The sequence below is a fragment of the Homo sapiens genome, chromosome 1, assembly GCF_000001405.40.
Source record: "Homo sapiens chromosome 1, GRCh38.p14 Primary Assembly".
Taxonomy (NCBI): domain Eukaryota; kingdom Metazoa; phylum Chordata; class Mammalia; order Primates; family Hominidae; genus Homo; species Homo sapiens.
Genome location: NC_000001.11, coordinates 3,266,945 through 3,294,180, shown reverse-complemented (window position 1 = coordinate 3,294,180; position 27,236 = coordinate 3,266,945). Strand labels below are relative to the sequence as shown.

At 59.1% G+C, this 27,236-nt stretch overlaps 2 protein-coding genes across 3 annotated transcripts in view, besides 3 other annotated features; both read right to left on the bottom strand.

Annotated features, from left to right (window-relative positions):
• The window catches only part of PRDM16 (PR/SET domain 16), a 369,419-nt gene that overhangs the window by 144,441 nt on the left and 197,742 nt on the right, over nt 1-27,236 (bottom strand). The gene's annotated exons all lie outside the window — the stretch shown is intronic.
• LOC124903828 (collagen alpha-5(IV) chain-like) overlaps nt 1-27,236 on the bottom strand; it is a 30,331-nt gene extending 3,095 nt beyond the window's left edge. Inside the window, exon 1 of the mRNA XM_047436627.1 lies at nt 14-27,236. Within this exon, the coding sequence (XP_047292583.1) occupies nt 6,199-7,362 (1,164 nt within the window). The 5' untranslated portion in view covers nt 7,363-27,236 and the 3' untranslated portion in view covers nt 14-6,198. The remainder of the gene's footprint in view (nt 1-13) is intronic.
• Nucleotides 622-916: an enhancer, noted in NCBI's record as "tiled region #1987; HepG2 Activating DNase matched - State 1:Tss". NCBI's record gives its function as "activates a minimal TATA promoter and a strong SV40 promoter by Sharpr-MPRA in HepG2 cells {active_cell/tissue: HepG2}" and the evidence as "EXISTENCE:reporter gene assay evidence [ECO:0000049][PMID:27701403]".
• Nucleotides 17,728-18,927: an enhancer, noted in NCBI's record as "CDK7 strongly-dependent group 2 enhancer chr1:3191818-3193017 (GRCh37/hg19 assembly coordinates)". NCBI's record gives its function as "activates an origin of replication core promoter dependent on BRD2, BRD4, P300/CBP, MED14 and CDK7 cofactors, with strong dependence on CDK7, by STARR-seq in HCT116 cells {active_cell/tissue: HCT116}" and the evidence as "EXISTENCE:reporter gene assay evidence [ECO:0000049][PMID:35650434]".
• Nucleotides 19,317-20,164: an enhancer, noted in NCBI's record as "VISTA enhancer hs705". NCBI's record gives its function as "enhancer in: hindbrain (rhombencephalon)[5/6]" and the evidence as "EXISTENCE:transgenic organism evidence [ECO:0001131][PMID:17130149]".

Sequence of the window (27,236 nt, the reverse complement as noted above, 5' to 3'; positions counted from 1 at the left end):
TTCGCCTGTTTACCTGGTAGGCAGGTTCTAGGTTTCGCCTGTTTACCTGGTAGGCAGGTTCTAGGTAGGTACCATCATTTCTGACTGCCAAGGCTCAGGTGGGCACATGGCAGGAACGCCTGGCCCCCGGGGGAGTAAGGAGCCGCCACAGTGAGGCAGGGGAATGGCCTAGCCCAGGCTTCTAGAGAAGCCAGAAACCCGAATCCTGTCATATGTTCACAGATGCACACACAACACGCACGCACTCACACACTGCCGGCACCCACGAGTGTGCTGGGATTACGGGGGTGCCTTCAGGCCCTCAGACACCTGCCGGGGCCGGGCCACGCCATCGCCTCTCCAAGGGGCAACGTTCACCAGGAGATGGAGAAGCCGACAAAGGATGGAACAACATTGCTGCCGACTCCCGGACCCCTGGCGACCACTGAGCATCCTGCACAAACAGCCGTGCTGGACTCACCCATAAATCCTGCTCAACAAGCTCTTAACAATGAAATACCCTACTATTAGCCGAGACAACCACTTACTCAGAACAAATACTATTCAGAGCGGAGCTCAAACGCATTCCCCTCTGATCATCGGTTCCTGGCCTGGGTACTTCAATCTCTCTATTTATGAAACAATAATGGAATTCTATTTAGTGCAGCGCGGAGTTCACTGCCTCTGATAAGTTTGCGTTCCAACGTTGCCCCTGGCCATCGCGCCTTCCTATTACCTCCTTGTCCCGGTTCACAGACGGATGAATCATCACCCAGATAGCAATACAACCTTTACCCACATATTATCATCAAAGCCGGCATTCACGGTGTTTTCAAAGGTTATGTGCTGACACACGGGTGGCCTGGGATGCGGTGCTGGTCCCGCTGACCTGGACAGGGTCTCGCTGCTTCTCAGGTGGAGAGGGAACCCCTGGGCTGCTTGGCTTTCTGTAGGCTTCACTGAGGGCCCCCTCGCCCCGACTTAGGATCCTCTACAGAGGCAGGTTCATTGCTGGTAACTCTGCCCAAATGTGCAGTTTTTCACTCAACACGTGTCTGAGCCCCGGCCAAGTGCCAGGAGCTGGGGTGGAATATAGGGTCAATAGGGTGCAGTCCCTGCCCTCATGGGCGATGTCCCTGTGAAAGGCACCTGGATGTGTTCCCTTGTCCTAGTAATTAACTGCAGAAAGACAGCCGAACTGAGGCTCCTCAAGAGTCCGAGGTCATGCCCGGAGCGGAGTGCCTCCGTGAGGGTCAACCCACAGAAGACAAACAGGAAAAGACCAGTGCCTCTTCCCCTCCTTCCACAGGGCTGCTCACGCTTCTTGGCTGCCGGAAACCCACCCAGGCCATTCGAAGATACAAGAGTTTCATCGCTTGGCAATGGGACTGGCCTCCTGAGCCCCCACCGATGTGCTGGTGGAGAACATTCAGCCTGGGCTCCCCATTCTTCCCTTCGCGCCAATTCCGTGACCCCTGTCTCCTGGGGCCACCTCCACCCCCAAACCTCCACCCCACAGGAAGGGAGGTGGGTTCCCTCGCTATCTGGCCCTTCCCTTCAGGAGAGCAGGCAGACCGTCCTTTCCCCTTCCGTCTGGACAAGCCACTCTCGTCTGGACAAGCCACTCTCATCCGGACAGCGCGGTCAAGAATGAAGGTCACGGTGCCGCTCACCAGGAGAACTCTTTTCAGCACTCGGGGGACGCTGCGGCCCCAGATAGAGGCGCAGCCAGGCGGAGAGCGACGGCTCAAGTGTGGTTTATCTCTCTGTGTTCTTTGCTTCTCTCTCGCTGGAGACACTGGGCGGAGGATCAAAGGCTGCGGGACAGAGCCGGACACCACTTTGATTCCCAGGGGCTAAAAATGAGCAGGTTTGGAAAGCCCGGGCCTGCCGTGCCCGCGTTATCACCTCGGCTCTGCTCTGGCTTTGCAGCATAATAAGACAAGTGTTGAGTAACAGGACTTGAGGCCGGGCCACGGCAGGTTCCTCCTGGCGACGGCATTGGACAGAACAGCTCAACCTGCTCTCCCCTCAATAAATCCGTCACGTGCCCAAGGTTGTCAGTGCAACCTTGAGAGGCCAGCATCCTGCCAAGGCCTGTGGGCCCAGAAAATCTGCCCTCTCCGCCAGCCTTGCTGAAGCGGCCATGCACCTTCCTGCGGGGTCCTGCGGCCAAGCCCAAAACACAAGATGTAAAGGCATCTTGAGGGTGCCAGGCACCGGGTAGGCCCCAAAGGAGCCCGGGAGAAGGCACCTGCTGTGTGGGGGGAGACAGGCCCAGGAGGGGCCCTGGGAGCCTCCCAGGTTGGTCTCGAGCAGTGGGAGGTGCACTGTTCCCTTCGAGGAGAGAAGCTGTTGGGACCAGCGTTCACCTGCTATGTCCAACCCAGTGGGTCTCAAACTGGAATGCAGCTCTCTTGCCGGGCATTTACACAGAACCCCCGTCTCCCCCAGTGCTGGGGTTCAGGGGACTTGCATTTCTAACAAGCTCCCCCGCACTGCCAAGAGCTGCCTTGACCCAACACGGGTGCTTCATAGCATTCAGACCTTATTTAAAATGGACATTGATGTGATTACTTAATAGGGAGCCCATGGCCTGGTGAGGCCCCTTCAAGAGGGGATGGGCAGGGGCGGGAGGAGTGTGGAGCTCTGAGTTCTGCGAGGCCTGTGGGCCCCTGGAGCTGGCCCTTCCATGTTTCAGCTGCTGGATCAGTGATGACAGCGGATGGTGTTTATTGGGGTATCTTCCAAAGGTCAGATGCCTTTCCTTGGCCTCCCTTAACCTGCAGACAACTCCATGGCAGCTACCTGGCCCCTGCGGTGCAGAGGAAGCAACACAGGGGCAGAAGGGGAAGAAGGGTGGGTCCCCCAGGGGTCCAGGTGGGGCCACTGTGAGCGCAGGTGTGTGTGATGCCCAGGCCTCTCTGGGTTCCCTGTTCCTGGGAACGCCCTGACTGGGGTCTCCTGGGCCTGGCTCTCTCCAGTCTCTGAGGCAGTGTTATTGCCACCCCGAGAGAGGCCGTGTGGGCTGCTCTCAGCTGTGCATCGTCCTGGTCCACGCCCTGCCTCATGACCTAAGTATCACATCAGGAAACTGCTACTCGTGTCTCCAAGGATTCCGGAAGCGGGTGGGGCCGGTGCTGCCTGGGCGATCCTCCTGCATCTCTCCTCCAAGCCGGAGACAAGGATGGCCTCTCCCAGGCCCCTGGAGTCAGGAGGCCAAGCCGCTCCTATCACATCGTAAGAAGGTTAATAAGGCCCCCGATGAATGATGAGTATGGATTTCTGCACCACTAATTTCCGTAACCATCACTCTTTGAAAGATACCTCGGGCCCCCAGTGCTCCGGGCCCTTCCCAAACAGAGCGGCATTATGTGGCCAAGTTCAGCTCGGCGTATCCCGTTTCAGGGATCTCGTAGGGCCTGCCTCGGGAAACTCTGCAATATTTTTGGATCCACAGCTCCCGGCTTGAGTTTCTTCCACTCCCTGCACGTCCCCCTGGAGCCCTGTTGTTTCCCTGGGTTGTGGGGACAGTGCTCCTTCAGCCAGCGCTGGCCGGCCTGGGCCCACCACTGCGTCCTGGGAGGGATCCTGCAGACGGAGCCGGAGCCACGGGGCTTCTTCAGTGATGCCACCTCTCGCTGTCCCAAGCATTCACCTCTGTCCTCAGCATGGGAGGGGCTGGCCAGACACAGGTTCCTTTGAGCTCAGAAATGCTAGGACACAGGGGCCTCAAGAGAAAAATCACCGCTTCGAACACAGCAGGTGGAGGCAGCAGGCTCTTTGGGGAACCGGCAAATTTCCCCCTCTCTGTGCCTCCTCATCTATAAGGTGGGGATACTGAGAGGCTCTCCTCTTCCAGCCATTTTGAGCATGGAAGGGGCGACACCTCTGAGGACCCCTGAGCCCTGTGGGCTGGCAGGCAGATCCCTCCCACCCCGTCGCTCCTTCCTTCCCATGTCTACTTCCAAATGCCTGGAAACCTGCCCACCTCAAGGGGAGCCCCTGTGCCGGGCCAGCCTTGGAGTCGTAGGGTGTGATACCCAGGAGAACAGCGCCCGGGTTTGTCACATCAGCATGACACATGCACTCTGTGAGTTTTCATTCAGGAAAAACACCCTGCGCTCACGAGCACACTTTTAAAGCCAGAAACCGCTCCACCAGGGGAGGCACAGCAGCAGGGGCAGCCCCAGGCAGGAGTGGGGTCCTGGCGCCTGGGGTGGGAGTGGGGTCTCGGTGCCCTGGAGGGATTGAGGTCTGGTGACTTGGATTGAGTGAGATCCTGGCACCCTGGAGGGAGTGGGGTCTGGTGACCGGGCAGGAGTGGGGTCTCGGTGCCCTGGAGGGAGTGGGGTCCTGACTCCTGGGTGGGAGCGGGGCCCCGGCCTTCTTTCCATCCTTTGCCCTGGAACTAGAGCCGACACCACAGGCATAGCAGCTGTGAAGGCCGTGGCTGTCCCATGTTCCATGGACACATCCGTGCTGTCCTGCCCCAGGGCCTTTGCCTGTGCCGTTCCCTCCCCTGGAAGGCCATCCTCGCTTCTGCCAGCAGCTCTGGGGCTCACCGTGGACCCGCCCAGCTCCTGACCTGCCCGCAGGCCTTGCTAATGTGTCTGTCTCCTCCTGCTGGGCTGTGGGCACTGGGACTGGGCTTCCTTCACCCAAGCCCCCAGCCCTGGCACAGGGTGGGCACCAGTGTGGGTGAGGAGGATGAAATGATTTCTGGAAGCACCAAACAAAAACAGCGTGGGGAAGCTGCAGGTGGGAACTCGCTGCAGGCAGGTACTTGTGAATTTGTCGACAGACACCCATCTGGCACCTGCAGGGGCTGCGTTCAGACTCCGGCGGGCATCGGGACACCAGAGAGCTTGCCCACCTGCAGATTTCCAAGCTGACCCCCTCCCTGCCAGCGCACCCAGGAATCTCTGGGGGCCTAGGCAGGGGGCTTGGGCCTCAGTCTCAGCAGCCCTGGTCCTCCCCACCTGTGACCTTATCAGGGGCCTTGCCCGTGGCCACACTGGTGGGTCTCCCTCCACGCAGAGGTGTTCCCACCTGAGCCCTGTAGCAGGGGCCGGGCGACAAGCACAGGAGGGAAAAGGCAGTGGGACCCCAGATGCAGCATCAGCCTCCTCCTCTGCAGGGCTTGGGGTCTTCGGCCAGGGGCTCATGGGCAGCCAGCCAAGTTCCCCTGCCCCTAGGCCCTGTGAGGAGGTGGTGAGCACGCAAGGATGGCAGGCCCCTGGTCTGCTCTTCCACTCTAGGGAACTTCTGAAGCTTCAAAGACCCAGGGGCAGCAGGCACTGGTCAATGTGGGAGGAGAACACCCAGGAGGCCCTACTTCCTCCCCCAGAAGGGGCAGCCTGGACCCTGCACATGACATTTGGCCCCTGCCCCTTCCAGGGATGTCTGCTCCCTGCTGCAAGGCAGGGAGGGCTGGCTGCCCCTCTGCCCTTCTTTGGCTCCTGCAGGGAGAGGCTGCCCCTCCTGGCTGCAGGACTTGGGTCTCTCTTATCTACACCTTGGAGGTTTGCATCTTTAGAGCCCCTGGGGTGGTGGGGGAGGGGCTATGGGTGGTGGTGGCCTCGGTCCCACCAGGACCCCTAGGTGAGCACAGGCATTGGTCCCCCGCTTGGGCTGGAGCTGGGCTGGGGGCCCACAGGACCCTTTTGCCACCACTCCTGGCCACAGGCTCAGGTCTCAACATCTGAGCGTTCCCAGCCAGGACCCTGGGATTCAGAAAAAGCAGGCTGGAGCCCTCAAGGTGAGGGCGTTCCCTTCCAGCCGTGGGACATAGAGCCCAGAGAAGGCCTTTGTCTGGAAACTGAGGTGGAGAGAGACAGAGCGGGGAGTGGGAAGGGTCCCAGCTGCCTGGCCTTGCCCCTGAGCCTGGGTCCACACAGGACACCCAGGGACCTCCTCACCGCAGGCCCCTAGGTCTCAGCTGCTTGTCCCAAGTGCTGGGCCTGGGGGCATGAGGGTCAGAGGCCAGCCTTCCACAGCCACAGCCTCCAGTGCTGGATTATCTGGCACCTCTGCCAGGCTAAGACCAGCTGGCTCCTTGGGCACTCTGTTTGTCATGCGCTGTGTGGACAGACTCCTATGGCCGGGCAGCTAGCTGGCCCTGCCTGACTTTAGGGGCCTTGCCTCCTTGTAGCCCCCATGGCCCTGGGCTTGGTCAGGGCCTCCGCCCACCCCTGAGCCCAGGGCTCTGCCTGTAACTCAGCAGTTTACACTCTCCCTGTGAAATGCGGCCATGCAGCTGCCCCAGCCGGGGTGAGAAACCTGAGGGTGTGCGAGGCTCCATGCAGGGGGCGGCTCCAGCCCCGGTAAATGCAATCCTGGATGCCCGCGTGGCGGGGCGGCTGCAGTCCCGGTAAATGCAATCCTGGATGCCCACGTGGCAGGGGGCGGCTCCAGCCCCGGTAAATGCAATCCTCGATGCCCGCATGGCAGGGGCAGCTCCAGCCCCGGTAAATGCAATCCTGGATGTCCGCGTGGCGGGGCGGTTCCAGCCCCGGTAAATGCAATCCTGGATGCCCACGTGGCAGGGGGCGGCTCCAGCCCCGGTAAATGCAATCCTCGATGCCCGCATGGCAGGGGCAGCTCCAGCCCCGGTAAATGCAATCCTGGATGCCCGCGTGGCAGGGGGCGGCTCCAGCCCCGGTAAATGCAATCCTGGATGCCCGCGTGGCGGGGCGGCTCCAGCCCCGGTAAATGCAATCCTGGATGCCCGCGTGGCAGGGGCGGCTCCAGCCCCGGTAAATGCAATCCTGGATGCCCGCGTGGCGGGGCGGCTCCAGCCCCGGTAAATGCAATCCTGGATGCCCGCGTGGCGGGGCGGCTCCAGCCCCGGTAAATGCAATCCTGGATGCCCGCGTGGCGGGGCGGCTCCAGCCCCGGTAAATGCAATCCTGGATGCCCGCGTGGCGGGGCGCCTCCAGCCCCGGTAAATGCAATCCTGGATGCCCGCGTGGCTGGGAAGTGGAGCTCTCCTACGGCGCTCAGGGCATCCTGGAGGCACCACGGTTTCAACATCAAGCGTCCAGGTCCCACTTCCCAGCGTCCATGCTGCCGCCCCAGTGGGGCAGGCCTCCTGCTGACCCCAGGAAGACTCCAGGCCCCCAGGACCTCATGGGCCAGATCAAGGGTGGGAAAATGAGGGTCAGGGGAACAGGGCCCCAGCACCCAGGAAGGGTGGGCAGACTCAGCACCCAGGAAGGTTGGGCAGACCCAGCTTTGAGTCCCAGCACCCAGGAAGGGTGGGCAGACCCAGCTTTGAGTCCCAGCACCCAGGAAGGGTGGGCAGACCCAGCTTTGAGTCCCAGCACCCAGGAAGGGTGGGCAGACCCAGCTTTGAGTCCCATGCTTTCCATCCTCTTGCATCTGAGCTGGGCGGCCCCTCCACTCTGTGTGCCTCTGTTTCCCCGAGTGAGGCTTGCAGGTCTCCTGTGAGTTAAGCGCCCAGCACGTAGAGGCTGTCGGTATGAAAATGGTGACTAGAATTTTGCCACCAGCACAGTTGGTGTGGGAGGAACTTGGGGGTGCAGAAGGCTGAACCCCCAGGCCCTCAGGCCCTTATGGAGGACACGGGGTTCCTGAGCATCCAGCTTTCTCTGGGGGTCCATGTCTTCTTCTTTCTCCTCTCCTGCATGTCAATTCAGGAGGCTGCAGGCTCGGTTGGGTCCAGTTGGTGAGGAGGTGCCACCAAGAGGAGGGAGAATTGTGGCCATGTTGCCGTCTGCAGAGCAGAGCAGGTGCTGATGGGAAACAGGAACCCAGGGCTGGAAGATTCCGGAATGCTTGCATGTCACCCACCTGGGGCTCTGCCAGGCAGGGGGCGGCCCTTCGGGCTGTGGGGACGCTGTGCTCTCTGAAGGGTTAACTGCAGTTGCGGCCCCCCTTGGTCCGCAAACACTGACCACTTTATCAACACGTGCTTCCCATTACCCACACAACTTGCAATATTCCTGGTGTCTGTATCAACTTGATTCAATTACTGGGACCACTGTGAGGGAACATTTCCTTCAGGGGAGCAAAGGCCCCAGTGCCTGTGGATGAGGAGAGGGAGCTGGAGGAGGAGAGGCTGTCGTGGGGAATGCTGACTCCATTCCTTGCAAACTCCTGTAATTGACTTTTTAAAAAATGGCATTAGCATTTAAATGGTCCCATAGTTATGGGGGTGAAGGTTCAGCACAATATGATCAATTTATTGAGCTCGTCAAATGTTCTTTTGATATTTATTTTTCCTTGTGTCACGCCGCAGGGGCTTTCTGGGTTTTCTCGTCAGCGGAGCCTGGATCTTTGATTGGGCTCCACGCTCGGCAGAGATGAAAACCACAAAGTCCACCTACCCTGGGGTCTGAGAAGCTCTTGCCAGAGAGGGCCAGTGCCCTTTCCCCAGGTGGACATGCCAGGTGTCCGGTGGTGGGGGGGCTTTCCTCTGCCATGGCCTGGGAGCAAGGCTGGCATCTGGAGAAGCAGACCTTCATCTAGCCATTTCCAGGGGGAGGAAACTGACCTTGGCCGTCCAGGGACCAGAGACGGAGGGGCTCAAGCACGCCCTGGGCTCAGGCTGGCTATGACCACGGCCAATGTGGATGTCGCGGGTGTGAGCGAAGAAGCCCGAGCGAGCATGTCACAGCTCCAAGCTCCCGAGCGAGCATGTCACAGCTTCCTGGGAGCATGCCTGCTCCCAGGAAGGCAGGGGACATGTCCGTCCCGAGATTTGTGAGTGGGGGCGACACAGCGGCTGTGGCAGGGCTGCTCAGTGGCCTGGGAATGCTTTGCAGCATCACAGGGATCAGGTGAAAACGTAAAACGACCTGAAAGGCAGAGCCTGGGGAACAATGGGGTGAGGGCAGAGGGCAGAGCTGCTTTCCCAGCCACACCTGGAGAGGTAATCAGAACGCCCAGGTGGCCAGCTGGAGGGGAGAGGCAGGGGCCTCCACGGGGCTGGGGCCAGAGGGCTGGGGTGCCCCAGGCCAGACTTTGCTCCTGGCTGCAGTCCACACAGCCCACCTCACCCTAGGTTTGCCCAGTGGGCTCTGAAAACCTCACCAAGGACCTTGGGACTCTCAGCAGGAAATGCTGGGGGCTGGCCCAGAACTTGGGGGGGCCAGAGAGTGCCAGCCTGCCTCCCTTGCACCCCGTCCAGGGCACCAGGTGAAGCGTTCCATGCTCAAGGGCTATACCGGCCAGAGAAACCTACCAACATTCGCCTCCGAAAGCCCGGGCCCAGAGGGGAGCAGGTCACTCAGGGCTTACAGCCCAGGAAGGGCCAGCGTGGTGAGTAGGTGCACCAAGCTCGGAAGCTGCCCTGGCGGCTGCAGACTCCTCAGCCCGGCCTCCAGCTCTGACCCTTCTCTGCTCTGCCCTGGCCTGGGCGGGACCACGCTGGGTTTCCCAGGCTTGGCCACCCCAGGCTCACAGGTGCTCCGTGAAGCCCCCAAGACGCATGGCCGTTTCTAGAAGCAACACCCCTTATCCTCCTCTCTGGCTGAGAATGAACCCTCAGATTCCCCATCATAAGGCCACAGAGTCTATCTGAAGATGATCTGTATCAAGACCGCACTCCCACGTTCTCAGGGTGTGGGGCTCCCCCTGGCCGCCCCTTTCCCTGCAGGGCTGAACTCTGGCTGCTGGCAGGTCCTGGCTCCCGAAGGCTTCACGGCGACAGTGCCAGGAGAAGCCCACCTGGCAGTTGCTTTGCTCTGGACAGACTCCTAGGCCACCGGGAAACAAACTCATCATTTTGGCCACGCCTTACACTGGTTTTCTCTGAAAATTCTGGCCTAATAGGAGAACGCCCACCTGGCTCTTCCTCCCTCCCCCTCCAGATAAATACTGCCATCTTAACACTTTAAAAAACACACTCCAGGAACCACTCAGTTTACATAAAAAGCCAGACAGGGGCCGAAAACGTTTGACTCTTTATTTTAAAGGTTCCCAAAAGGCAGATAATGTCTGGGGAACCTGGGACGCTTAATGTCGGTTTGCCTTTGCAAACCGGTGTGCTTTGGCGAGATGTCCCCCAGGCAGGCGATAGAGGGCGCCTCCACCCCAGCTTCCCGGGCGGGCTACGGGTGGCGGGTGGCGGGCAGCAGCCCCTGCCCCAGGCCCAGGCCATGGGAGGATGGCCCCCAGCTCCAGGCCCCCCCAGGCCCGCTACCCTAGGATGGCGGCATCCCAGCCAGGACCACAGGCCAGGCCCCCAGCGCACTTCCAACCCTGCGATGTGCCTGCGTCTCCTGGACACACCGCGCACCGGTCCCCCGAATCTGAGCCACATTCCTCCCGCGGAGGCACCTGGGCTCCTGCAGATCCTAACCTCTTAGCTTTGCAGGCTTGGATGTTGGTCGGGGAGGCTGTGTGGCCGCAACACCACCAGCCGGCTTTGCTGGAAGATGCTGGGGGAAGCAGGCGGGAAATATACTCTTCCTTTGACCTTGAGGTCTGGTCCCCATAACCCTTCGCTGACCGCCCCGTCTCTCTTCCTCTGACCTTGAGGTCTGGTCCCCATAACCCTTCGCTGACCACCCCCTGTCTCTTCCTCTGACCTTGAGGTCTGGTCCCCGTAACCCTTTGCTGACCGTCCCCTCTCTCTTCCTCTGACCTTGAGGTCTGGTCCCCGTAACCCTTCGCTGTCCGTCCCCTCTCTTCTGTGTGTCTGTCTCTGCTGTGGACCTAGGGGCACCGCGCAGTGTGGGGCAGAGGCTGTTCTTTCCACTCTGGGGAGTGGGTGAGTTGGGTCTGCCTGGGGCTGTCCTATGCCATGGAGCCCACCTCCAGGGTCTGGCTGCAGGAGGGAGGGAGGGAGAGAGGGACAGAGGGAGGGGCATTGGAGAATGAACAAGGTTGGGGGGCAGCTGTGTCCTTCATTGGCCTAAGGCCATTTGCAGCCACCCCGGGCCCTGGCCAAGGCCTGGACAGACATTCCCTGGCACCTCCATTGCAGGGACAGCCCCGCCTCTAATGGGCAGCTGTGCCTGGGATATGCTGTGGAGCCCAAGCAGGAGGGAAGGTGACGAGGGGCTGGCTGGCCAGTTCCCACCCATGAGCCCGGCCACTGGGTCAGACCCCTCCAAAACCAAGTGTCGGGAGGGGCAGAGTGAAGACGCACCCCGCACCTGCTCGGGAAGCGCTGCCTCCCACCCGGCCTCACAGCCTCGCCTGTCTCACAGGGAGCCTTCTGCAGCATTGACTCTGCACTGAAAGATGACAGTGTCAAAGAAAACTCAGAAGGAAGGGAAGGGAGACGCCCCTCCTCTAACCGCCCTAATACTACCACGCCTCTCACTGCACCTGCAGGGGAGCCCTCACTACTCCTTGGAGTGACCCCGGGAGCTTGGGCTAGCGCTGGCTGCCCACCACCCTCGTGCCCCTCCGGCCACGGCTGCCTCCTGTGTCCCACGTTCGCCAGGCTTCAGACGGACAACAGTGTCTCCTCCCTAGGGAGAAAGGAAGCTGCCTGAGGAGCTTCGGAGTGGCAGTGACCAGCTCTGGTGGCCATGCTGATTCCTGGGTCTCGGGAGATGCCTGCTCTCTTGGCGAGTTTTTTCCAGACACCAAGACCAGGAAGGCTTCAGTGACCTTGGCAATAAGTCTTTCCCCATTTCCCTGAGAAGGTGACCATCCTCAGGTGGATTGAATCGTGGTGAGAGGTGTGCATGGAGCAGCATCAGGGGTATCCTCAGCTAAGTGCCCGCTGGGACAGAGCTGAGGAACAGGCTTTCCAAACCAGGGGGCCCTGCGGCGCTGGCCCCAGGTTCTGCTGAGGGTGACCCTGGCCTGTCCTAAGCCCGACAGTGGGGGGACAAGGTCTCTGGGTCGAGGACCTGTGGGGGCCAAGCAAGGAGCCCAGAGCCCCCACTCCACACACAGGCAGCGCCCTGCTAAGCCAGCTGGCAGGGCCAGCCTGTGTCTGGGGAAGGGCTGGTGCCCGGCACCTGCTGACCTCTCTGGGGAAACGTCTGCACACTGAAGCATGGCCTCCCTGAGCACATGCCTCTTCTAGAACATTCTGGGAACTCACTGCTCAGGCCTGTGAAGGGAGTCAAGGTTCGGAAGCTTTTCATGTGCAAGCCCAAAGCTGCTTCGGTGGTAAGGAGAGAGCTGGCGTCCCATACCTAGAGGCTGGACCTGGGGTTCTCAGTTCAGGTCACATGTTTGACTGAAGGGTTCATGGCTGACCTGACTGCAGCCCAAGGCCTTTCCTGCAGGCCAGCACTCCTTCTAGAACACCCCTCCACATCCAGGGCTGCGGGCGCCCACCTTGGCCTCATGCCAGCTCCAGGCAGACTGGGGCTCCAGTCTCCCTGAGCACCCTGCACCCCCTGGTACAGGGATGGCGTCTGCCTGCTCCTTATCCCTGGTTTCCTGAAAGCAACTCATCGATCGGACCATAGCTCATCAATCAATCCGGCCATAGCTAATCTGTGAATCCAACCATAGCTCATCAATGAACCCAATCAGAGCACATCAAACCGATCATAGCTAGTCAATCAATCTGGTCATAGCTCGTCAATGAATCCAACCATAGCTCATCAATGAACCTGATCACAGAACATCAGTCTGATCATAGCTCATCAATCAATCTGGTCATAACTCATCAATGAATCTAACCATAGCTCATCAGTGAACCCAATCAGAGCACATCAAACCGATCATAGCTAATCAATCAATCTGATCATAGCTCATCAATCTGATCATGCTAAGTTGTGAATGACTGATAAGTTTCAAGGCTGCTTCTCTCAAGGAGATTGGTGTTTTATTGGCAGGCACAGGAATGATCCCTATTTCGATTTCATATAGTGGACACCTACTTATTTCTAAATGACCATGGCTGGGGTGGGCGTCTCAGTGCCAGCCTGGTCTGGAGCACAGGTGGAGGGTTCTGGCCACCGGCAGCTGTAGGAAGGGAGCGTCTCAGCAGCCAGGCCTCCTCCTGGGCGACAGTGCCCACAGCTGCGTTCTCAGGTAGGGGCTGGGTGTGAGCCAGCAAGGCAGATGGCAACGTTTCGAGTTGAAGAGGACATCTGGGCATCTTGCAGCATCCTCCTAGGGCCCAGTTTCTCAAGCTTCTTGACAGTCCAGAATGCCAATGGCCCCACTTTTGAGACAGTGGGCTGAGGCTGGACAGGTGCAGGGACTTGCCCGGTGTTGAACAACCACCCAGGGAAGGAGGCCCAGGCAGTGCTGTCCTCAGCCCAGAGCCAACCTCGCTGGGCAGCCACTCGGCCTCCCAGATTCAGAACTGGGGAGAAAACAAAACCCATGGATGGAGATTTGACAAAAGCCCTGGGGGCTCCGCATTGTTTCTGACCAAATTTCCCTGCCCCTGCCCCAGGGGCTGTGAGAACCCCACTTTGATTTCTCCTGGGCAGAGACCCCTTGGAGACAGGGTGGGTATGGCCCGGGACGGCCAGTCTAGCCTGCTTCTCACTTCACCTAGGAACGGGTCTTTCTCAAGGTTCCCTTTCATTCACATTTACTGTTTTCAAAGCTAAGCAACAGCCTTCATGCCTCAGAGAAGGTCTTAGTTCTTAGTTGGTGCCAGTGTGACCTTAACGCCACAGACCTTGCTGGGGTGAGAGGTGGGTTCTTCCAGCTGCCTCCAGGCTCCAGGTGGGAGTCGAGGGAGGCGATGGAAGGCCTGAGGTGGGAAGGACGGACCTTGTTGGAATGTACGCCGTCCCTCCGCACATGAAACTCTGGCTTTTCTCTGGTGTGAGGTTGGACGCTGGCAGTAAGGGTGGGGGGACTCAGGCAGAAAACCACTTCCTCTGTGTGCAAACAGAGAACTCTGCACCCTCCCAGATATACCTGCCCCAGGTGAGACAGGGAGCCACACACTTGAAGACATGTCCCCTGAGACAGCCACTGGGCTGCAAGCATGCACACACACGTGCACACACACCAGGTCATGCGCACATTCATGTGCACACGTCACATGCACACACCAACACACGAACACACAGAGTCGGCTTCAACAAGCCACAGACTTGGCACTAAGCTGGTGACCAGCTCGGGGCAGCCACCCCCTACCCATGCAGTGGGTGCTGAATGTCTCTCTCTGACCATAACTGGCTTCCACACAGCAATAGAGGACTCATGGATAATTCTGACTTTCTTATTTAAATGTTTTTTTTTTTTCACCCTGCTTGTTTTACAAAAAAAGTATGGCATTATCGTGATTGGAAAATAAATCAATATTTCTTTTAAAAGACTCGGGATTCCATGAGGTTTTGTCTTGACCGAGCTCATGCTTCTCGGCTGACGTCATGGGGAATGGTGTGGACCCACATTGGTGGTGGGTGCCCGGGGGGGGTGGGAGGAGGGGCCGCCTGTCCACTCCACACTGGCTCAGGGATATGCTGGCCCAGGAGGCCACTTCCCTGTCCCCACCCCCCCGCAGGCTCTGGTCCTCAGGCAATGGGGAAAGGGGCAGGAGGCGGTGGAGGCCCCTTTGTCCTGCCTTCCTTCCTCCACCATCCCCTTCAGCTCCACTCCCCCGACCCTCTGCCCTCCTGCAGCACAGACTCTCCCTGACGGCTGCCCGTCCTCAGCCTGTGGCACAGGAGTCTGGAGAGGGGCCGGCACCTTCCTCAGAGCCTCTTGCTCAAGTCTTTCCTTTTGTCATCCACAGAGAGCCCAGTCACAAGGGGTCTCCGGCCGAGGCAGCTCAGAAGGAAGCCAGCCTGGTGGCAGGGGCAGGCGTGCAGGGCGTCCCAGACTGACGCCGCCGGGCAGGGCAGCTCTGCGGCCAGTGTGGCCACTTGGTCCCTCGCCCGGAGCGGCTGACACTGCTCAGCACAGCTGCCCCGAGGCACCGCGAGGGCCCGCCCTTCCTCTCTGCGTTTCAGATCTGAGGGGAGAACATCTACCCTGCCCCGCTGCAGAGGCGGCCTGACCACAGGCTGTGCCGGACCCAGGGATGCCTCCTGCTCCAGCTTCTGCAGGGCTTCTGCTGAGCCGAGGGCCTGCGCCTGGGCAGGAGAGGCCGCCGGTCTTTCCAGGCATGGTGAGCGACGCTTCGAGGCTCCTGATGACCAACTGCATCCCCGGACTCGGGGCCACAGCTGCCCACGTGGCTATTGGTGGCAGCTTCTGCATCCACCTCCTTCCTTTGCAAAGTTGACATGGAGAGAAACTGGAGCCAGCCCAGCTGCCCCTGCCCCAAAGGTGGACAGGGCTGACGATGACAGACACGGAGCACACGGCCAGCGCCGCGCTCGGCACCGTGTGGCTCCACGGATCTCCAGGGCCGGCCGGAGGGAAGCGTGGGAGGATGGGAGAGGCCACGGCTCGCTGAGTGTCTGCAGGAGCTGGGCCACGTTGAGAGGACGCAGGGACGCTTTGTGCTTTGTTCCGCTGCCCCGTCCCCTCTGACGTTCCCTGTGGTCAGAGCAGCAGAGGTTTTCTGAGTTTGGACACGTCTGCCAGAGAGGCCAGCAGTCACACTGGAAAAGTTCTCGGGTGGCCAGTTTTCTAAGGGTCCTCAGATCACAATACCCTAGCCGAACCAGACCACAGGCTCCAGAGAGGGCGGCCTTGTGGCTGCCGGGTGTCCTGGCTGACTGCAGGCCCCGCCGGGCAGCAGGGTGCCGGGTGCGGCTGAGGTTCCAGGGCCTGTTTCATGCCCAGCACAGGGATGTTCCATTTGCTAGTGACTGCGCTTTAGGTGGGTGCTTAGAAGAGGGGGTTGCCGATGTGAGCAAATGTGCTGCTGCTGAAATATCCTGCATGAATGTGAACTCCACACAGGCCCCTCCCACACTCTGCAGGCTGCCCCTGGGGTCCTGCCTGTGCAGTGGGGTTCATTCAGCTCCCTGTTTGCCATCCAGACAGTATTAGGCCTAGGTGTGGCTGCAAGGGCGCAGCCAGGCTGTCCCTAGGAAAGACGCCCCTTTATCCACACCATGTGGGAGATGGCCCATGGGGAGGATTTGGGATGCTGGAGGAGATGCAGCATGGCCTTGAGGGGGTCTTCTCTGCCCCAGGCAGGGTGGGAGGCTGGAAAACCAGGCGAGGACGGTAAGGCCAGGCTATGATAGGGCTTTAGGGACCTGGGTGGGGTTGGGGAAATGGCCATGAGAATGAGAAGAAGCCTTCACACTGTCTCAGACTTGAATTAGGAATGACCCCAGACACAGTTCTTGGTTACAAGCCCCTGCCCTGCCCTCCCTCCTTTTCAGATGAGAGGGTCCCATGGCCTGCTAGCAATGATCGCTGACCTAGAGCTCCCGGATGCACGGACTTCACGGTGTTGGAAAAGTGCGTGTGCTCATGTGCATGAGTGTATGGGTCTGTGTTCCTGTTTGTGCCTGGGTGTGTTTACACAGTGGTTATGCACATGTGCCTGTGCACGTGTGTGCATGTGCATATGCTCGTGTTCACAACTGTGCGTTTGTGTGTGCATATGTGTGCGTGTGTGTGCGCGTGTGTGCATGTGTGTGCGTGTGCGTGTGTGCGCGCGTGTGTGTGTGCATGTGGGTGAACAAGGGCTACTTCCCCTGCTCCGGGAGCTCTGTGGATTCATCTGGGGTCAATGCCTCGTTGTGCCCAGTCCCCGACCTTTGAGACATTTTCACTGACCCTGTCCCTGGACAACGTCCCAGGGGCTTCAGCGGATTCACAACATAAACCCATTTTTCCTCCCAGAAAAGGAGAGGGTCGGGGCCAGCCTGGGGCTTTCCTGTACTGGGATCCTGTCTTCACAGAGGCACCCAGAGACCCTGTGGTGAGGAGAGGCCTGAGCAAGTGCGCCCCATGGCAGGGTAGGGCCCTGGTGGCCTGGGCTTGGGGGTTCCCTGCAGCCTTCCCGGCTGACGTGCCTCCTGGCCTCTGAGGTGGGCATGGTGGATGCCAGTGCGCCACAGGGAGAGTGAAGCGTGTGACAGACGATGCCATCCCCGGGTGGCGCAGCAGCCAGGACTCGACTGTTTGCAAGATCCAGCCGTGCACAGAGAGGCATGGGGCCGGCCACGTCCACTAGTCTCACTCAGCCCTGAGCACAGGCCCAGCCTCTCCCGAAGCCTCCTCCTGGCCTGGCTCTTGTCTGTCTGCTGGTCATTGTGCAGAGACCACAGGCAGCAGGTGACGAATGGCTGGTGTCAAGTCCTGTCATGCCAACGGGGTCCTGGGGGAAATGCAAGAGGCTCTGAAACCAGCTTTATTACCAACCTGTGGCCACCGAGATGATCAATCAAACGGATTGGTGATGGCAAACACCACGGGGACGAGAGGCAGACGCTGCCCGGGGTCGTGATGGGGGATGGGGAGAAGATGGCGGAGGAAGTGCTGAACTTGACCAAGCCCAGCCCCCTTTAGGGCTCGCTCTCTTTCCATCACTAGGTTGGCCTCAGGGTCCAGGCCGAGGCGGCCCAGGCAACAGGAGATGTCAGACGGGGCAAAGGGGTGATTTACAAGGCGGCTGGCGCTGTTCTCCAGGGAGAAAGGGGAAACCGTGAGGAAACAGGCACCCCTCGCTGGCTCTGTTCACGGCACCCCTCGCTGGCTCTGTTCACGGCACCTCGAGCTGGCTGGGGCCGACGAGCTGAACATGCTGCCAAGGCCCTGCAGCTTCCCTGGGATGTGAACCCTGGGCTTCCTCTAGGCCATGGGCTGGGACAGCTCGGGGTCAGACACCGGCGGAGTTAGGGCCGTGGGGCCTTCCTGCGGGCGGGTCCGGGTCGCTGGCCAGTCTTCATGCAGCTGACTTCATGTAGGTATGAGAGGCTCCCACAGCAGAGGCAGCTCAGGGCCGGGCACGAGCAGAGTCCACGCTCCCCTCCTGAGCTCCCAGAGGTTCAGGGGTGCTTTCCATCCTGGGATGGACCCACAGAGCCCCTCAAGAGGCCTGGTCGCTGCTGGAGTCTGCGGTGCTGAGACCAGGACTCCCACCGCGGGCCCAATGGCAGGCCTGGCGAGGATGGCGGGGGCCGGGGGGCTGCCCAGGGCAGGATGAATCAGACCTCTCTTGGGAAGTGACTCCCGCACAAGGACATTTTAGTCAGACATAATTGCAAGGAAAAATAAACCTGCCTTAACAGAAAACAGCTTTCCAGTTGGTTTCTCCCCCCTTGAAGCCCTTTCAACTCCAGGTTTTGGCAAGTCCTGGCTGTGGGTAATTGTCAACACGACGTGGTGTCCGGAGACCAAAGCCGGCAGAGCGGAAATGGCACCCACGGCGTGAGAGAGACCGGGGAGGCCGCAGCAGGCACGCGTGTGCTGGAGTGCACAGACCCACAGGGCGCAGCTGGGTCACAGAGAAAGGGAAACATGGTCTTGGCCGCAATGTGAATGGCTTGGGAGGGCATCTTCAGACGCTGGCCCCACGAGAAGAGACTAGGGCCTGGCTGGGTGCCACCCACTTCCACGCTGGATGTGCACGGCTCTCCCCAGTTTGGAATGACTCCCCTCCCGCCCCCCTGGCTCTCACTGGTGGTTCTCACGTCACCCTCAGCAAAAGGTCACCTAAAGTCCAGGAGGAAGGTCCCTTTGAGCCCTGCCCGGTCTCTCCTGGAGGGGACCGGATGGAGTTCTTGAGGGAACTGGAGCACTGGGCAGGACCGGCTCTGGCGTTTGGTTCGAGCACTGTGCCCAAAACTGCCCCCACCGAGGAGTGCTGCCTGCACCAGGACAGGGTGACCCGTCCTGAACCCCCCCACCTCGGGGCATGCCGAGTGCCTGACAACTGTTTGTCCGGAAGTCCTGGTAGCCAGGTCCCCCAGGCCCTCCTTCTCCTTGCCCTTTCATCTTGGGGGTGTCCTGCAGCGGGGTAGGGGTGGGCAGAGGGGCCAGGGAGAGACAGGCAGGCAGGAAGGAGCGAAGGCTGGGTTGGCCTGTGTCTATGGGACGGGGTGCCCCCACTTTTTCATTCCCGATATCCGGTTGATCCTTTCCGGGAACTTGTTACGTACAAGGTCTGTCAAGCCCATGGCTGACAGGCCGATGTTACTCACTTGGCTGGATTCTGGCAAACTCAGGTTCATTTACCAGGCAAAATTAATGAGAAAGGAAAGACTTATATGATGAGATAGTAATTTATGACTTCCACTGGGCCCGCCTCCTGCTCCCAGTGCCTGGCGGCACATTTCACCTAAGCGTCCAGAATGGCTCTGCCAGGCGCACCTGGGAGCCAGCCAGATCCGTGCTCCTGCTGGGCTGGGGGATGCTCAGAGTCCAACCTTGCTGTCGGTACATGGCAAGCATTCACAACACCCTTCTCAAATCTCGAGCAAGTTCCCAGCATATCTGTGCATCCTGCATCCCCAGAGCAAGAACGCCTTGAGCAGGTGCCATGTGTCCAAAGCCGGCTGTCTCAGGACCCGGGACCCACACCCTAACATGCCTCCTCATGCCTCCATGCCCTCGACACCACTGCCCCCAAACATACAAAGGAGAAGAAGGTAATGGAAAAGCCAGCCATGCAGCAGCAAAATAAACCTTCCCTAATGGCTACCAAACTTGCTGGGTGTCAGCTCCAGCGACTTTGTGCAGACAGAGTCTGTAATAATCACGCAGCTCGCAGACAAGGCCTCGCTCCGGCAGGAGCCGACGTGACAGAGCCTGGAAGGCAGGTGCTACTGTAATTAGCTATTGTTTGACTATCAAAAGTCAGGGCTGATTAAAGCCACTAAGCACAAGTGCACTATTTTATTTCAAAGAATATTATGAACTGCACGCTGGGGCCCTTTCAGAACGGACCTTCCTTCCGCAGCCGGCTAAGAGCCCATGCCAGCAGTAATCAAACGCAAAATCTGCATAAACCTTCAGGGTTTAATTCAAGCAGAGACCTTTCATTAGAAATATGTTACTTTATGAAATCTGGTCGCCAGCAAGGGGAGAGAAATGTGACTTCTTAAGAAAAGTGAATGGCACCTCTTTAGTGATTAACCCAAGATTAATGGAGGCCCCCACTGCTCGGCCTAAGTCCATTTTATTGCTAATTCATTTAGGTACCATTTCAGAGATGCCTGATGAAAGTTACCTGCCAGGGCGTCAGGTTTTGGCAAGCAAGGATAGCCATCATGGTCAAATCCCAAATACACTTTTTATTAAAGAAGCTTTGAAAAGTGTCTTGTATTCGTCTTTTCCTCCCTTCTTTCTTAGGGACTTTCTATTTAATGTACTCAATTAGTTAAAAATTTGGATCCTAATTCACCCATCAGAGATGGATGCGGCTGGTTCCCTTTCAGTGGCTTTTTTTTTTTTTTTTTTTTTTTACCTCCCCATACCAAGTCCACGGTGAGAGAACGGTGCCTGGGACACACGCACACAACACTTACATGCCACACGTGCACACGCACCTACCCACACGTAGGCTGGCACCCCCATATAAGCAGCCCATACACACACACACACACACACACACACACACACACTTACATGCCTATGCAGTTAGCCACACGCTATGCACACAAAGGCATATACCCTTATATATGCAACCCCCACACACCTATCCATGCACACACATGTGCTTACATGCTCACCCATGCACACACACCTGCCACATGCACACACACACAGGAATGTACCCTCATAGATGCAGGCCATACACACACATGCATGCACACACACACTTACGTGCCCGTACATACACACACACCTACCCACACATGTGCACACATGGGCATGTACCCTTATATATGCAGCCCCCATATACCCACCCACGTACACACATGGACATGTACCCTTATAGATGCAGCTCATATATGCATGTGCACACACATTCACTCACACCCACCCACCCACACACACACATGTGCACGCACCCTCATATGTGCACCTCCTCCACACACAGATCAGAGTATGCCAAGGGCACCATGGGTAGGATCATAAGAGATGTGGAAGTGTCACTGCTGCTCCCCACTCCTGCCCAGAAGGCACCTCGAATGGCAGAACAGGCTTTCTTCTGGGCACTGGGGTGGTGATCCAAGGTTGGTGCCCTGGGGAGGCAGCCTCCCCATACCCAACAAAGAAACCAGCGTTGGGGGATGGTTAAGAGCTGGGTAAAAACCTGCTCTGCCATGGAGCCCACCTCATCCCTGCTCCTGCTCCCCACTGCCCCTGGGATCCTCCCTGTTTCTGGGCCTTTCTTCCTCTCTCTGCTTTCTGCACCAGCTTCTGGTTCTGAACGCACATCCTCTCCCACGCAGACTCCGGCTGCCCTCTCGACCACAGCACTAGTGTAACTGCAGCCTCAGGTAAGCCCCCCAGGACGGTCCCATGACCAGGTCCCCACCATGTGGCAGACACAAGACTCGAGACTCAGAGTGGTCCGGCCCTCAGAGCCCAGGCTGGGGAGTGGCAGAGCCGTGAAGCCACCAGGCCTCTGTGTCCCCTTCATCGGCACAGGCAGCAGGGGAGCCAGCCCTCCCTGTGGGGGCACAGGGCAGCTCCAGAGATGGGCTCGGCCTCGCCCACCTTGTTCCAGGCCTGGAAGGCTGGCCCCCAACCCCACATTCAGGCAGAGCTCCGAGTGGTGGTGGGGCTCACAGGCATCTCATAGGGAACTTTCGAATCTTCCTGAACGAATGCAGAACTGAGGCGATGCAGCCAACACACAGGTTACCCGGGGACCTGCACACGGGAGCTGGGGTGGAGCATGAATGTCCCCAGGCTCACTGGCGGGACGTCCCTTTGGAGAATGGAGCCCCAGGAGGCGGGTGTTTCCCGAGCCCCCAGTGCGAGCCTCCCCGAGGTCCCGGAAGGAGCCTCACAGCAGAGGCTGCACGACTCTAGCCGCCGTGCCCAGGACAGAGTCCAGCGCGTGCCTGTGGGCCGGGGTATGGATTTCTCTGTGCCCTGAGAGCTGCAAACAAAAAACACATCCAGCCTTGGCCTCAGAGACCATGGGAACCTAAAGAGCCCCCACGGAGAGCCCCCTACAGAGCCCCTACCTCTCTAGATGGGCCTTAAAGCGCCCGACTACAGCCAACTCTGTTGCCACCTTCTCACCACACGCCTGTCCCCGTGGAGTGCTGCAGATGCAGGATGAGCAGGATCCGGTCTGAGAGCCCCTGGGCCTTGCCAATTCGCCCTGGAGGAAACCGTGAGCCAGATTCCCTGGGGTTTGAGCACTGCCTGGCCACCAGCCACCTCTGGAAGCGTCTGCAAGCACCGGAAGTTCTTGTCCTCCTGACACCCATGTGGGCACCGTGTCCCAACCCAGGCAGCCCCTGGTAGACAGCTGACAGGTGCTTTCATGGCTGGGAGAAGCTGTCTCATTCTGTGTGTCCCAGGGCAATGTGTGGTCTTGTGATCAGGCACCTTATCCTACCTGCAAGACAGACGGTGAGGGTGGTGTGTGCAGGTGGTAGTGGGGAGACATCCCCAGATGGGAGCAGAAGAGAGAAGGGAGCCCTGTGCCCAGGACTCCGCGGCCTGCTGCTGCTTTCCGTGCTGGGGGTCAGAGATGGTCCCGTGCCAGCCAAGGTGATGCCAGGATCATCTCTGGCCTCTGAGGCAGGAGCTTTTCCTGCCACCAGGTGCCCCTCCAGCTGACATCACCAGGCAGCCTGGGCTTGCCCCGAGCCAAAGCTGAGAAATGCAAGCCCTTGGTTCTCTGCCAGGGCCCCTGGACTACCCAGACAGTCCCCCTGCCTGGCCTCACGCTCCAGGTCATGGAACAGGTTCTAGATGGGTTCACCCCCAAGGGCAGCTCACAGGGTCAGAATTTCCACGTCCGCTGCAGGACAACGGCCTTGGGTTCTCACTGGGTTGAGCTCCTAAGGGCTACCATTTTCTTTATGTTTTGGATTTGGCTGGGAGTGGCTTAAGAGTGAATTCTTCACCCCAAACTTCCCTTAGTCACTGTTCCCCACTGTGGGAGACCCAGGGAGGCTCTGCTAGGAAGAAAAGGGTCTTTCAGGAAGCCTCACTCTGCCTCCAGGGCTCTTAGACATCTTGCAGAGCCAGGCTCTGTTTAGCTGTGGGAAGTAGCCTCCTTGATTGGCGGAAATGCTTCGTTCCTTCCTCGAGGGATATCTGTATAAGAGGACTGGGGCTTTCATTCTGACCTGGAGGCGTCCGGGGCCCCACACTGGCGTGAATGTCCAGTCTCTGCCCTTGAAAATCTCCAGCATTTCCTCCCACCGCATATCCCCTGCATGCACGTGGCGGGGCAGGCAGGCCGGCCACAGCCGGGACTGGGAGGAGCGTGGCAGACACCAAGGTCTGCCTCTGGGAGGCCCTGGCAGACTCAGCGAACAGGGCCCACACTGTCCTCCTCTGGGACTGCTCCTCTGGAACTGCCCCTCTGGAACTGCCGTCCTCCCCCACTGTCCTCCTCTGTACTGCCCTCCTCCCAACGGTCCTCCTCCTGGACTGTCCTCCTCCCCACTGTCCTCCTCCAGGATTGTACTCCTCCCGACTTTCCTCCCCTGGGACTGTCCTCCTCCCGACTCTCCTCCTCTGGGACTGTCCTCCTCCAGGACTGTCCTCCTCCTGACTGTCATCCTTTGGGACTGTCCTCCTCCCGACTGTCCTCCTCCGGGACTGTCCTCCCCGACTGTCCTCCTCTGGGACTGTCCTCCTCCTGACTGTTCTCCTCTGGGACTGTCCTACCCAACTGTCCTCATCCAGGACTGTCCTCCTCCCGACTGTCCTCCTCTCGACTGTCCTCCTCCAGGACTATGCTCCTCTTGACTGTCTTCCTCCAGGACTGTCTTCCGCCTGATTGTCCTCCCCCGGGACTGTCCTCCTCTGGAACTGTCCTCCCCGACTGTCCTCCTCGCCGACTGTCCTCCTTCTGGACTGTGCTCCTCTGGGACTGTCCTCCTCTGGGACTGTCCTCCTCCTGACTGTCCTCCTCCTGGCTGTCCTCCTCCTGACTGTCCTCCTCCGGGACTGTCCTCTTCCCTGACTGTCATCCTCTTGGACTGTGCTCCTCTGGGACTGTCCTCTTCCCCACTGTCCTCCTCCGGGACTGTGCTCCTCCTGTCCTTCTCCTGGACTGTCCTCCTCCTGACTGTCCTCCTCTGGGACTGTCCTCCTCCGGGACTGTCTTCCCCGACTGTCCTCCTCCAGGACTATTCTCCCGACTGTCCTCCTCCGGGACTGTACTCCTCCCCGACTGTCCTCCTCTCCGACTGTCATCCTCCCTGACTGTCATCCTCTGGGACTGTCCTCTGGGACTGTCATCCTCCGGGACTCACCTCTTCCAGGACAGTCCTCCCTGACTGTCCTCCTCTGGGACTATGCTCCCCTGACTGTCCTCCTCTGGAACTGTCCTCCTTCTGACTGTCCTCCTCCTGACTGTCCTCCTCCCGATTGTCCTCCTCCTGGACTGTCCTCCTCTGGGACTTTCCTCCTCTGGGACTTTCCTCCTCTGGGACTTTCCTCCTCTGGGACTTTCATCCTCTGGGACTGTCCTCCTCCCTGTCATTCTCTGGGACTGTCCTCCTCTGAGACTTTCCTCCTCTGGGACTGTCCTCCTCCAGGACTATGCTCCTCCTGACTGTCCTCCCAACTGTCCTCCTCCGGGACTGTGCTCCTCCTGACTGTCCTTCTCCCAACTGTCCTACTCTGGGACTGTCCTCCTCCCAACTGTCCTCCTCCGGGACTGTGCTCCTCTGGGACTGTGCTCCTCTGGGACTGTCCTCCTCCCGACTGTCCTCCTCCGGGACTGTCCTCCTCTGGGACTGTCTTCCAGGACTGTGCTCCTCCCCGACTGTCCTCCTCCCAACTGTCCTCCTCCTGGACTGTCCTCCTCTGGGACTTTCCTCCTCTGGGACTGTCCTCCTCCCTGTCATTCTCTGGGACTGTGCTCCTCTGGGACTGTCCTCCTCCCGACTGTCCTCCTCCGGGACTGTCCTCCTCTGGGACTGTCCTCCTCCTGACTGCTCCTCCTGACTGTGCTCCTCCCAACTGTCCTCCTCTGGGACTGTCCTCCTGACTGTCCTACTCTGGGCTGCGCTTCTCCCCGACTGTCCTCCTCCGGGATTGTGTTCCTCTGGGGCCGTCCTCCTCCTCCCAGCTGTCCATCTGGTACCCCAGCCACTGCCTGCTCCTTGGGACTGAACCAGCCTCGGTCCTGAGAAGCCCAGTGGCCATGGCCATTGCTCTCTGGCCTGGAGCCACCTTCTAAAGCCCATCCCAAAGCCCACCCACCTGTCTTCTGTTCCCCACCTGGGAGCAAGAAACAAGCCCGAGACGCCTGTCTCCAAGACTCACTGCCTCTGCAGTGCCTATCAAGGATCTGGGGGCCTGGACAGGCTCCCTGGGGGTGGGAACCTTTGGAAGGACCCCCAGGTCATGGGGCCACCTCAGGTAAAGCGAAATGAAAATACAGCAGCTGAAGTTGGCTTGGCGCAGCATGGGGAAGCCTCCCACGCTGCCCCTCACCCTGAGGCATGCGGTGGGGCAGGCTGGGAGCCCCTGGACTGGGTCATGGCTCACGGCTGCCCTCCTCGAATATACCAGGAATATTAGAATACTCTAGTGACCCCAATGGACTCTGAGGCTGGGGTTAGGGGTAAGAAGCCCTTCTTCAGGGAACTCTGGGGTTCCCACACCCTTGTGCCTCTGCTAAGGCAGACAGCTGGGGAAGGGGTGCTGCAGGGGCAGCTGTGGTTTCTGCTGAGAGTGATGGATTTTTTTAAGCTAGCTATAGGAATGAGGGTGAAGGCTTCCTGTGACCTGCCCCAAGTTGCCAGGGCCTGCCAGGCTGCCCACTGTTGCCCATGAGCCTCGCCCCTCGCAGGGCCCGTCTGCCCTCCCCGGCCGCCCTGCACCAGCCTGGCCATCCCGTCCTCCAACACCCTGGTCTACCGGCTTTGCGAAGTGCACACGTTAATTATCCTGCCACTGCTGTAATTTCTCCCCGTAGTCCATTAATTAAGGGGTCACAATCCCAGAGCATGTTTACCCAATAAGCCTTCTTTTTTAATTATCCTAATTGCTCGGAGCCTGACAAAGACTCTGCCCTTCTCCTTCCCCCGTGGATTAGCGGAGACAAACACACTTCCACGCGCACCTGGTCTGACGCGCGCCGAGCCGGGGGCGACTGCAACCGCAGCAGGAGCGTCGGGCCCTTCTCCTGAGACCAGTGGGCCAGCCGAAGTCTAGGACCTGCTCACCGTACGCTCCCACGTGTGTGCAAACGGGCACCCTGTTAGATTCGGGGGTCATGGTTTGAGGGCCGGGGAGCCGTGGTCCGCAGGCCCCTGAGGTCTGCACCCAGGTTGGCTGTTTTGCACCCGCGTTGCTTGCGAACGGCAGGCAGATCCACCCCCTGTCACAACAAAGCCAAAACAACAGGGCGGACTCCTCAGGGTTTCCACCTCCATCCTGGCTTGGATTCCACTTCTGACTCGGCTTAGGATCCACGTCATGGACCTGTGTCCTGTGAACCAGGGAGGCTTCCTGTGGGCCTGGGAGCCAATGCTGCCACCGACACCCACTGTGGACCCGCAGCGGCGCGGGATGGAGAAGCGGCTCACTGAGGGAGAGGCTGGCGCTCTGCTCAACTTTCAGAAGGAGGGGCAGGGGCTGGAATCACCCTGGTGCGGGAGGGGCCGCCCCTTCAGCCGCTCTGTGAGGCCGCTCCTCGTTTCTGAGCAGCTCTGAGTCAAACGAACACAGGCACCCCGGGATGTGAAATGGTATAGCCACTGTGGTAAACAGTCTGGAGGTTCCCCAAAAAGTGAGACATAGCGTTATTGTGACCCAGCCATCCCAGACCCAGGGCGCTCTCCACGGGAATCGATCCTTGTACACACGTACCCAGAGCAACACGATTCACAACACCCACAGGTGCAAACAAGCCTCACGTCCTCCGGTCAGGGACGAGTGGATAGAAAAGGTGTGGCCCCTCCACGCAGGGGAATATTACTCAGCCAGAAAAAGGCACAGAGCTCCGACACGAGCTACAACATGGATAAACACTGAAAACATTATGTTCAGTGAACATTTTAGCCATAAGAGCCACACGCTGCATGACTCCATGAGATGAAATGTCCAGAAGAGCAGATGCAGAAAGAGAGAAGACAGACTTGTGGTTGCCTAGGGCTGGAAGAGAGGGGATGGGCGTGGCTGCTCACGGGTACAGGGTCTCCTTCAGGGCAAGCAAAGATGCTCCAGAACTAGACAGAGGCGGCTGCAAAATACCGAATGTACTAGATACTGCTGACTGTCCATTTTAGAATAATTAGTTATACGTTTTGTACATTTCACACTGGTTTAAGAAAAGAAAGAAAAGGAGATGGCTCTAAAATGCACGTGGCCGGGCGCGGTGGCTCACACCTGTAATCCCA